At 38.1% G+C, this 12,419-nt stretch overlaps 1 protein-coding gene across 3 annotated transcripts in view, besides 1 other annotated feature; it reads left to right on the top strand.

The window, feature by feature from the left end:
- The window catches only part of TNFRSF10B (TNF receptor superfamily member 10b), a 48,899-nt gene that overhangs the window by 11,698 nt on the left and 24,782 nt on the right, over positions 1 to 12,419 (top strand). The gene's annotated exons all lie outside the window — the stretch shown is intronic.
- Positions 7,004 to 7,298: an enhancer, noted in NCBI's record as "tiled region #6582; K562 Activating non-DNase unmatched - State 5:Enh". NCBI's record gives its function as "activates a minimal TATA promoter and a strong SV40 promoter by Sharpr-MPRA in K562 cells {active_cell/tissue: K562}" and the evidence as "EXISTENCE:reporter gene assay evidence [ECO:0000049][PMID:27701403]".

The raw sequence follows: 12,419 nt of genomic DNA, 5'->3' as shown, positions 1-12,419 counted from the left end.
GTGGCTCACGCCTGTAATCCCAGCACTTTGGGAGGCTGAGGCAGGTGGATCACAAGGTCAGGAGATTGAGACCATCCTGGCTAACACAGTGAAACCCCATCTCTACTGAAAATACAAAAATGAGCCGGGCATGGTGGGTGGTGGTGGGCTCCTGTAGTCCCAGCTACTCGGGAGGCTGAGGCAGGAGAATGGCATGAACCTGGGACGCAGAGCTTGCAGTGAGCCAAGATTGCACCACTGCACTCCATCCAGCCTGGGCAACAGAGTGAGACTCCGTCTCAAAAAAAAAAAAAAAAAGTCATAAAAGATCTGAACCACCTTGACTTAATTGACATTTATAAGAGGACACATGCATCTACTGAAAACTCATTCTCTTCTAGTGAAGATGGTACCCTCACTCATTTTATAGCCCATATTCTGGGCTATAAAATAAGTCTAAGTAAAGTCTCTTTTAAAAAAGAGAACTCATATATGTTCTCTGATCTCAATGAAATTCAATTGGAAATAGATAACAATGTCTAGAAAGACCTCCAAATTTGGATGCTAAGCAACACACTTATAAATAATCCATGGTTCAAAGGAGAAATTAAAAGCTAATACAAAAATATTTCAAAATATAATGAAGGTTTAATGCATCAAAACTTGTGGGAAGCTATTAATATGGTTCTCTTTTTTTTTTTTTTGAGATGGAGTCTTGCTCTGTTGCCCAGGCTAGAATGCAGTGGCACAATCTTGGCTCATTGTAACCTCCACCTCCCTGGTTCAAGGGATCCTCCTGCCTCAGCCTCCTGAGTAGCTGGGATTACAGGCATGCCCCACCATGCCCGGCTAATTTTTGTATTTTTAGTAGAGACAGGGTTTCACCATGTTGGTCAGGCTGGTCTCAAACTCCTGCCCTCAAATGATCGCCCGCCTCGGCCTCCCAAAATGCTGGGATTACAGGCGTGAGCCACACTTAACTTCACATTTCATAATTCCTGAGTCTTATCAGGCAAAAACAAGTCCTGAAAAAACAAAGTAAATCTACTTATTATAGTAGGGCAGATAATACAAAGTTGGGCATTAAGGTAATATCGTATTTATAGTTTTAAAGCTGATGACTCTATAAGGACAGTATGTGCTTCAGTGAAATTATAAACATGAAAACTCTGCTTTCAGTTCTTTTGGATACATACCCAGAAGTGGGATTGCTGGATCATCTGGTAATTCTACTTTTAATTTTTTGAGGAACAACCATACTGTTCCTGGACCAAACTGAGGGTCGGGCTGCTATTTCTTGCCACCCATTAATGAGATGCCAATGAACTGGGAAGAAAGAGTTTTTATTTCTGTAGCTGGTTACAGGGAGAAGGCCTGGAAATTATCGCCAGACCAACTCAAAATTACAAAGTGTTTCAGAGCTTATATCCTTTCTAACCTATATGTCTACATGTAAGTGTGCATTCATCTAAAGACATAAGTGATTAACTTCTTTTAATCTATAACTAAGGTCTGAGTCCTGAAGACCTTCCTGTGGAGCCTCAGTAAATTTACTTAATCTAAATGGGTCCAGGTGCTGGGGTGATTACCCTGCTAAACCATGGAGGTTTGGGGAGTTCCTTCAAACCTCCAATACCCTTGTTTGTGGAGGCCTGGGGAGTTTCTTCAAAACCCCCAATAAAACTTGTTTAATCCTAAATGGGTCCTGTTATGAATTCCTCCATTATTTTGTCATGCTTTAAGGCCCAGGAAAGGCCTAAGCAAAACTCTTGATGGGCTTTTGTTACATTCCAGCCTTTGTATAAGGGCACTGGCTTTTTTTTTTTTTTTTTTAAGCATTTAATAGTTAACTTAAGCACTTGATTAGTACTGAAACAGTTGTGATGGAGGCCTGCATTAGTGAAACCTGGCCTGCTACAATCCCCACTGTCAATTTGCGCATGATTTCTATCATGCTTGTGTATTTATTTATCATGAGAATCGTAGGGAGATGGGGTGTCATAATCTTTCTGGCTACTTTCAGCTGAGAGAGGGTCATTGTTATGGGGCACCAAATGCAGTACTGGAGTGGAGGAGGTTGATTTGTTCCCGGTAGCACTGTCTATTTTAGGGGCTTAGAGAGAGTGCCTGCTGAAACACCTAGTTTTCAGTTCACAGGGCTTTAAGAAAGCAAAGCTTAGGTTTCAGTGATTTCCAGTTAGGGAAAATGGAGAAAAAGGAAAAGAAAAAGGAAAAAATTGAAAACATTTTGAGACTTGCAGCCAGAAAAATTAGAATTTAATCCAAACTGTAGAAAATAATAAAAACTGAAAAACATCGAGGAAGACTAGAATTTAACAGGTGTAACTATAATTTTTGAAACATAATTTTTCTCTCTTGTTTCCCATTTTTATTAAAAGACAAATCATGGTAGGACTGGTTTGCTTTATTATACTTGGCCTAATTACTTATATACCGTGCAGCAAGAATAATTATTTTTTACATAGGCGTTTTAAATGGGCTTTGATGGAACTTTGTTCCATAGCAGGAATCTGAGATAAGACCTTTTTAAAGCCGAGCCCAACCATGGATTTATACCATCAAATACCTATGAGTTGGGTGAATTCCTCTCTTCTTGAGGTTCCAAGATAACTTGGGGTTCCTGGCCTGTCAGAAAGTGACATTCTTTACTTACCACAGGTCAGAAACCCTGTACAGGGTCTATGTACACAAATTATGAGGCCAGTTTCCAAGGGCTTTCTTGGCTTCCTAAGTCAAGTTTGATTCCTTAAAGGAGAGCAAAGTCAAAGCCTTGGTAAAATAACCAGTTTTTCCAATTGTGTCCTGTTACAAAAGAAAACAGATTCTTACTGCACTTATGCAAATAACTATATTGCCATAACTTAAGAATACTCACAGTTTCGAAATTCTGGAGAAAATCAGGTAGAGAGAAACAAATATGCTCCAAATTTTGTTCATAGGAGTATACTGTACTTAAATGTTAAAAGGTGTTAATAGCTCAAAAGAAAAGTTTCCTTGCCTCTGAAAAGCAAAACAAAGGATTAGCAACATTTTAAGCCGAAAGTCAAAAAGATCACTTCAGTCTCCTATTAGTTCAGTTCATGCAGTTAATTCCTGTCCTGTTTGATATTAATGAACATTTTAACTCTTCAAGAGTCATCAACGTTTTTCCTCTATTTTGATGTCACAATCTCCAAAGTTATCAGAAACCTGCATTCAAGAGCACCTGTTAGAGCTTTACAGCTGATTATAAAACCACCTTCTAAAGAGGACCAAAACAAGACAGACAACAATTATTTATGGAGGACAAAAGGTTTTAGGGTAGCCATAGTTAAAGACACAATTGATGACAAGGGTATCTGTTACCTCTGTGGCACACAATAATTTTAACATAACAATTATAATTATTAATGATAACATACACTAAGATATATCAGAATTATAGGAGTCTTCCATAACTTTGGAACACATACCAATAATATATTTATGCACATACAGCCCAAAGAAAGCCAAACACCATTTCATGTTTGACAATGCTTCCTGTATAATTTTATATCAAATAAGCCACATTTCACCTTTACATTAGTGTACTATTAATGTTAAATCCAATTTTTAATAAAACCTTATAGACACATTTACCCAATTTTAATGTTTGACCATAAAGTAAGAGTTTTATAGACCTTTCATAACTCTTTACAATTTTTGTTAAACAGAAGGTTAGTGCTCTAAGAGAAACCCATTGTGCTTTTATTTTAATGCTCAATTTACAGAAAAACTGGATGATATCCCTTTAATTTTAGCCAATACATTTACACACAGAATTGTCTTTACAATTACCCTTCCACAGCTTGCTTAAACTTTCATTTTTATTTTATCCAACTTAAAACAATCCTTTAACCTTTTAATCTAGTAAAAAATATCCACATTCTCATGCCTCCTTATAATCTTTTTACCAAAAGTATATTTTACTTTCCTTACACAACTTGCATGTAAACTGTTTTTTCAATAGTCTTAAATACACATTACATTGTTAATTCTTAGCAACCTTTTCTTTTGGTGAAAACCTTGGTAAATTTGGGATTTTAATTATATACTAGGTATGGAGCCTACGACCTAGACAGAAATGCAGGTAAGGTCTGACTTATTCTAGCATCTAGCTCCATGTGTCCTAGGCCTTACCTAGCTGCAAAGCAGGCAAGTTGTACAGCTAAGAGTCATAGTGGCATTTTATAAAGCATTTAGGAGGCCTAATCACCTTTAAATTGTACAACATTTCTTGCATAAATTTCCTTTCATAAATTCTTTCACAACTTACACAGACAATCTCTGACATGCCTTGACTTTCTGACTTGTTCTAAACATCCCTCTCTTTAAACAACCAGTTAATTTACTTTAGGACAAGAATTTACCATACAGGAGCCCTTCTTGTATAAATTCTCTTTTCTTTAAAACTTTTTGCATAGCTAGGGGACATGGCTAATTTCACATGTCCCCAGGCCGTATCTAGAATTTAACAGTCCAAAATAAATTGAACACTTTTTAAGTCAAAGAAGCATTTTATGACCTAAAGCATTTAGCAAACCTAGTATTTGACCTGCATAATTTAGACCAACTATTTACATTTTTGAAGATACTTTTACCAATAATCTTTAAAATTCTCCTTATTTTTATAACTTTCTGTATATCTCTCTTATTTCCTGGTTTCTTTTACCTTGTTTTATATATAACCTTTAAATAAGCTTTGAATAAGACAACAATTAGTTACCCTTGGCCAGGCGTGGTGGCTCACGCGTGTAATCCCAGCACTTTGGGAGGCTGAGGCGGGCGGATCACAAGGTCAGGAGATCAAGACCATCCTGGCTGACACGGTGAAACCCCGTCTCTACTAAAAAGTACAAAAAATTAGCCAGGCGTGGTGGTGGGCACCTGTAGTCCCACCTACTCGGGAGGCTGAGGCAGGAGAATGGTGTGAACCTGGGAGGTGGAGCTTGCAGTGAGCAGTAATTGTGCCACTGCACTCCAGCCTGGGTGACAGAGCAAGACTCTGTCTCAAAAAAAAAAAAAAAAAAGTTACCCTTTAAAAAGGACACAATCTTTAGAAAGAATGTTTTCCTACGATATATTTTTATTAGAAAATACCCAAATAATTAGATATCTGTTGTTTAATATAACTTTAGATTCTAAATTATGACAAGTTTACTTATGAGTATGTATCCCATTACATTTATCTAATTATTTATTTTAATCATTTACCCAGATTATATATGAAAACTGCGATAGTTGTCATTAAAGTTAGGAAACCACCATTGCAAAATTATGACCGAGACAGTGAAAATGATCTGACCTAACTGACTCCATCTTCCTTCTAACCTACAAGGTATTCTTGTTTATTAACTTAGTTTATAATTTAGCTTTGAAACAAATGTGATAACAGTCCTTTCCCAGAACAAACTTCCTTCATGTCTGTGGACTAGACTGCTTAAGGCCAGAAGATTAGAAGTTAGGGTATTTTGGCCAGGCACGGTGGCTCACGCCTGTAATCCTAGCACTTTGGGAGGCCGAGGTGGGCGGATCAGAAGGTCAGGAGATGGAGACCATCCTGGCTAACATGATGAAACCCCATCTCTACTAAAAATACAAAAAATAACCAGGCGCGGTGGCGGGCGACTGTAGTCCCAGCTACTCGGGAGGCTGAGGCAGGAGAATGGCGTGAACCCGGGAGGCAGAGCTTGCAGTGAGCCGAGATCGCGCCACTGCATTCCAGCCTGGGCGACAGAGCGAGACTCCATCTTAAAAAAAAAAAAAAAGAGTATTTTACTAAATAATTCAAGATGTAACTATCTTCATTAAAACAATATTAATGTTTCATTTATTTAAAAATTACACATGCAAAGATTATTCTGTTTGCACTGAATTATAGTTTTGTAGCCTCTATGCCAGATTTTGACACCTTATAATATTTGGCAGAGATAAGTATGAAATTGCTTGATCAATAAATGCAAACTAAAATGTATGCTGGAAACTCTTAAGACATTTCTAATATTACTTTACCAATAATTTTTAAAACCAGCTTACTTATTAAAGATTTTAAGTCACATAAACTTGAAAAAGCATTTGACTAGTCTTTCCTTTTTTCTGTTATTCAAGTGCTTTTTTCTTTGAGCCATTTAATTAGACCTCTTTTGTATATCTTCAGTAGTGAAACATGGTGTACACAAGACAAATACATAAGTGTATTATGCATGCCAATAGAAGTACATTTTATAGATTCGTAAGACCTCATTTTTCAGTCTCCCTCTACTGCCTAGGCCAGAGTACAGTGGCATGATCTCTGCTCACTACAACCTCTGCCTCCCAGGTAAAAGCAATTCTCGTGCCTCAGCCTCCCAAGTAGCTGGGATTACAGGTGCCTGCCACCATGCCTGGTTAATTTTTGTATTTTTCTTAGAGATGGGGTTTCACCATGTTGGCCAGGCTGGTCTCGAACTCCTGACTTCAAGTGATCAGCCCGCCTCGGCCTTCCAAAGTGCTGGGATTACAGGCATGAGACACCACGCCCGGCCTTAACTGGATGTTTGAGCTCTGGGTGGAGCCCATACTGAATCCTGGGTTTTCAAAAAGGGAGAATTATTATGAGGCTAGACCATGTGATGCTTTTACAGTGCACTTAAACAATTTTTTCCCAAAGACATTTCTAAGTGTCTAAATTACACTTTTTCTTTAAAACCCCAGAGTAGCTTCTGTTTAATAGCTATTAATGAAGAAAACAGAATTCAGTCAACTGAGAAGAAAAAAAGTTTTGCTCAAAAAGATAAGGCCCTAGGAGAGAGAGAAATAAAACCAAAAACACGAAGGCCTTTTAAAGGCCTTCACGCCCCCGTGCGCACACACACACATATGCACATACACATTTTGGATGTTAGCTTTTAATTAAGCTGACTCCCAATCATTGAGCTTCAAAAAATCTTTCTCCTTCCCAGAGGCCTCTCAGCAGAGATGGACCCAATACTTCCCATTTTCAAGTTTACATGGTATCAAAAGGAACAAGACAGACACACAAACAAATGGAAACATTTCAGAAAAACCCAAGGGGAAGTGCACTACGGCAAAACAGACTCTCAAAACTAACGCAAAACCTGATATCAACCAAAGGGAAAGTGGGTGTATGAGCCAGCCCTGTTGCTTCCCTTGGCAGTACCGGATAAATGGCTTAACCAGCCCAAATGGGAAAACAATAGGCTCCTGGCCTAAGATCCCATTGACTCACCCTTTGAGCACGTCCGCTCCTTATCTCTGTTCTTCCCCAGTAGAGAAAGGGACGTGTAGATTTGCACATAAACAGCCCTCTGGAGGGTCCCCTGGGGAAACCTCACCTGACAGCTGCTGGGATCCTCCTGAAGACTGTCTCATCGCAAGCTACCAGCCGCTGAACGCGGCACTGTCCTTATCTTCTGGCTGGCGACTTTTTTGTTCCCAGACCAAACTGAGGGTGGGGCTGCCCAATAATGAGATGCAGGTGAATCTCGCTGCCCAATAAGAAGATGCAGGTGAATCTCGCTGCCCAATAATGAGATGCAGGTGAATCTCACTGCCCAATAATGAGATGCAGGTGAACTGGGGAGGAAGAGAGTTTTTATTTCTGTAACTGGTTACAAGGAGAAGGCCTGGAAATTATCACCAGACCAACTCAAAATTACAAAGCTTTTCAGAGTTTATATCCCTTCTAAGCTATATGCCTACATGTAAGTGTGCATTCATCTAAAGACATAAGTGATTAACTTCTTTGAATCTATAACTAAGGTCTGAGTCCTGAAGACCTTCCTCTGGAGCCTCAGTAAATTTACTTAATCTAAATGGGTCCAGGTGCTGGGGTGATTACCCTTATCTTGTCTCCTGCTAAATCATGGAGGTTTGGGGAGTTCCTTCAGCCCTCCCACACACTTGTTTTTGGAGGCCTGGGGAGTTTCTTCAGACCCCCAGTAAAACTTGTTTAATCCTAAATGAGTCCTTGTTAAGAATTTCTTCATTATTTTGTCATGCTTTAAGGCCCAGGAAAGGCCTAGGCAAAACTCTTGGTGGGGTTTTGTTACATCCCAGCCTTTATATAAGGGCACTGGCTTTTTTTAGCTTTTAATATTTAACTTAACCACTCAGTCAGTACTGACACAGTTGTGATGGAGGGCTGAGTGAAACCTGGCCTGCCACGATACTGTTTTTCCCAGTGTGTGTTTTACATTCCCACCAACAGGGCACGAAGGTTCCAGTTTCTTCACACCTCACCAGCACTTGTTATTTTCCATGCTGTTGTTTTTAATATAGTAGACGTTAGTGGTGGTGAGCATCTTTTCATGTGCTTATGGGCCATTTGCTTATCTTCTTTGGAGAAATGTCTTTCAAGTCCTTTGCCCTTTTTAAAATTTTTTAAAAATTTTTATTGTAAATTAAGAAATTACGGCCAGGCACAGTGGCTCATGCCTGTAATCTCAGCACTTTGAGAGGCTGAGGCAGGAGGACTGCTTGAGCCCAGGCGAACGTTCAAGACCAGCCTGGGCAACATGGCAACTCCCAATAAATTGTATGTATTTATGGGGATTTATAGGGTACAAAGTTATGTTATGATTTATGAATACAATATGGAATAATTAAATCAGCTAATATGTCCAACACCTCAAATACTTAACATTTTTATGGTGAGAACATTTGAAATTTATTCTTTTAGCAATTTTGAAATGTACAATATGCTGTTATTAACTACATTCATTGCACTGTGCAACAGATCTCAAAAATCTTATTCCTCCTGTCTAACCAATGGTTTGTACCTTTGATTATCATCTCCCCATTCCCCCGTGCCCAGACTCTAGTAACCACCATTCTATTCTCTGCTTCTGAGTTCAGTTGTTTTTTTTTTTTTTTTTTTGACACAAAAATTTCACTTTTGTTGCCCAGGCTGTCGTGCAATGGTGCCATCTCAGCTCACTGCAACCTCCGCCTCCCGGGTTCAAGTGATTCTCCTGCCTTAGCCTCCTGAGTAGCTGGGATTACAGATGCCCACCACCACGCCCAGCTAATTTTTGTATTTTTAATAGAAACAGGGTTTCACCATGTTGGCCAGGCTGGTCTCGAACTCCTGACCTCAGGTGATCCACACCCTACCTTGGCCTCCCAAAGTGCTGGGATTCAGGCATGAGCCACCGTGCCCAGCCTCGTTGTTTTCAATTTCATGTATGAAAACATACAGTATTTCTCTTTTTGTGCCTCACTTATTTCACTTAGCATGATGTATTCCAATTCCATCCATGTTGTTTCAAGTGACAAAATTTCTATCTTTTTAAAGGCTGAATAGTATTCTGTATTGTCTACATACCACATTTTCTTTATCCATTTATCTGTTGGTGGACACAGGTTGATTGCATAACTTGGCTGTTGTAAATAGAGCTGCAATGAACATGGAAGTGCAGATATCTCCTTGATATACTGATTTCAAATCTTTTTGGTAAATACCCAGAAGTGGGATTGCTGGAGCATATAATAATTCTATTTTTAGTTTTTTGAGGAAGCTCCATACTGCCTTCTGTAATGGCTGTACTAATTTACATTCCCACCAACAGTAAGCAAGGGTTCCCTTTTCTCCATATCCTCACCAACACTTGTTATCGTGCATCTTTTTGATAATGGCCATTCTGATAGGTATGAGATGATATCTCATTGTGGTTTTAATTTGCACTTCCCTAATGATTCGTGATGTTGAGTTTTTTTTTTTCAAATATCTGTTGACCATTTGTGTGTCTTCTACTGAGAAATGTCTACTCAGGTCCCTTGCCCATTTTGTAATCAGATTATTTTTTCTCTTTGAATAGAATTATTTGAGTTCCTTATATATTTTAGATATTAACCCCTTATCAGATGTATGGTATGCAAATATTTTCTCCCAGTCTGTAGCTTATTGCTTCACTCTGTTGTTTCCTTTGTTGTGCAGAAACTTTTTTTTTTTTTTTTTGAGATGAAATTTCACTCTTGTTGCCTAGGCTGGAGTGTAATGGCATGATCTTGACTCACGGCAACCTCCACCTCCTGGGTTCAAGTGATTCTCCTGCCTCAGCCTCCTGAGTAGCTGGGATTACCGGTGCATGCCACCATGCCCAGCTAATTTTGTATTTTTAGTAGAGATGGGGTTTCTCCATGTTGATCAGGCTGGTCTTGAACTCCCGACCTCAGGTTCCGCAGAAACTTCTTATGTTGATATAATTCCATTTGTCTATTTTTGCTTTTGTTTTTTGCACTTTAGGGGTCAAATTTTAAAAAATGTTGCCCAGATAAATGTTGTGTAGTTTTAGCCCCTGTGTTTTCTTCTAGCAGTTTAATAGTTTAAGGTCATATATTTAAGTCTTTAATCCATTTTGAGTTGATTTTTGTATATGGTGTAAGATAAGGGTCCAGTTTCATTCTTGTGCATATGGATATCCAGCTTTCCTAACACCATTTATTGTGGAGACTTTTTTTTCCCACTGTGTATTCTTGGCACTTTTGGCAAAAATCAATTGACCATAGCTATGTGGATTCATTTATAGGCTCTGTATTTTGTTCCATTGGTCAATATGTCCATTTTTATACCCGTGCCATGCTGTTTTAATTATTATTGCTTTGTAGTATAGTTTGAAATCAGGTAGTGTGATGCCTCCAGCATTGTACTTTTTGATCATGATTGCCTTGGCTATTTGTGTTTTTTTTTTTTTTTTTTTATGGTTGCATATGAATTTTAGGATTGTTTTCTCTATTTCTATGAAAAATGATATTGGAATTTTGATAGTGATTACATTGAGCCTATAGATTGCTTTGGATAGTATGGACATTTTAACAATATTAGTTCTTCCAAGTCATGAACATTTATTTTCATGCATTTGTGTCTCTTTCCGTTTTATTTGTCTCTTCTGTTTTGTTCATTAGTGTTTTACGGTTTTTAACATACAGGTCTTTCACTTCCTTAGTTAAATTTACTAATTTTTTTTTGTCATTGCTCTTAATAGGTTTGTTTTCTTAATGTCTGTTTCATATAGTTCATTATTAATATATAGAAATGCTACTGATTTTCATATGTTGATTTTGTATCCCACAACCTTACTGAATTTGTTTACAAATTTCTAACAGTTTTTTGGTGGAGTCTTCAGGGTTTTCTATACAGAAGATCATGTCATCGGCAAATAGACAATTTTACTTCTTCCTTTTCTATTTGAATACCTAATAATTCTTTTCTTTTTCTTGCCTAATTGCTCTGGCTAGGACTTCCAGTACCATGTTGAAAAGAGGTGGTGAGAGTGAGCATCCTTGTGTTGTTCCTGATATTAAAGGAAAAGCTTTCAGCTTTTCACTGCTGAGTATGATATTAGCTGTAAGCTTGTCATATAAGGCTTTTTTTGTGTTGATACATTCCCTTTACACCTAATTTGATTAGAGTTTTTATCATGAAAGAATGTTGTGTTTTGTCAAATGCTTTTTCTACATCTAATGAGGTGATCATATTGTTTTTGTCCTGCATTTTGTTAATATGGTATATCACATTTATTGATTTTCATATGTTGAACCATCTTTGCATCCCAGGAACAAATTCCATTTTATCATGGTCAATGATTCTTTTAATGAGCTATTGAATTTGGTCTACTGGTATTTTATTGAAGATTTTTGCATCTGTGTTTATTAGAGATATTGGCCTATAATTTTCTTTTCTTACAGTGTTCTATTCTGGCTTTGGTATCAAGGTAATGCAAGCCTTGTAAAATAAGTTTGGAAGTAGTCCCTCCTCTGTAATTTATTTGGGAAAGTTTAGAAAGGATTGGTTTTAGTTCTTGTTTAAATGTTTTGCTGAATTCAGCAGTGAAGCCTTCTGGGTCCTGGGTGTTTCTTTGATAGGAGACTTTTCATTACTGATTCAATATCCTTAATCATTATTGGTCTGTTCGGATTTTCCATTTCTTCATGATTCAGTATTGGTAGGTTGTATGTGTCTAGAAATTTATCCATTTCTTCCGGGTGGTTCAATCCTTTGGCATATAATTGTTCATAATATTTTCATATGATCCTTTGCATTTCTGTGGTATGCATTGTAATGTGTCTCATTTTTTTTTTTATTTGAGACAGAGTCTCCCTCTGTTGCCCAGGCTGGAGTGCAGTGTGACAATCTCAGCTTACTGCCACTTTCACCTCCCAGGTTCAAGTGATTTTTGTGCCCCAGCCACCCAAGTAGCTGGGATTACAGATGCACACCTCCATGCCTGGCTTTTTTTTTTTTTTTTTTTTTTTGTATTTTATTAGGGACGAGGTTTTGCCATGTTGGCCAGGCTGGTCTCCAACTCCTGGCCTCAAGTGATCCATCCGTCTCGGCCTCCCAAAATGCTGGGATTATAGGCATGAGCCACTGCACCTGGCCTCCTCATTCATTTTTGATT

This window comes from Homo sapiens, chromosome 8 (genome assembly GCF_000001405.40).
Source record: "Homo sapiens chromosome 8, GRCh38.p14 Primary Assembly".
Lineage (NCBI taxonomy): Eukaryota > Metazoa > Chordata > Mammalia > Primates > Hominidae > Homo > Homo sapiens.
This window is presented reverse-complemented; position numbering and strand designations above follow the sequence as displayed.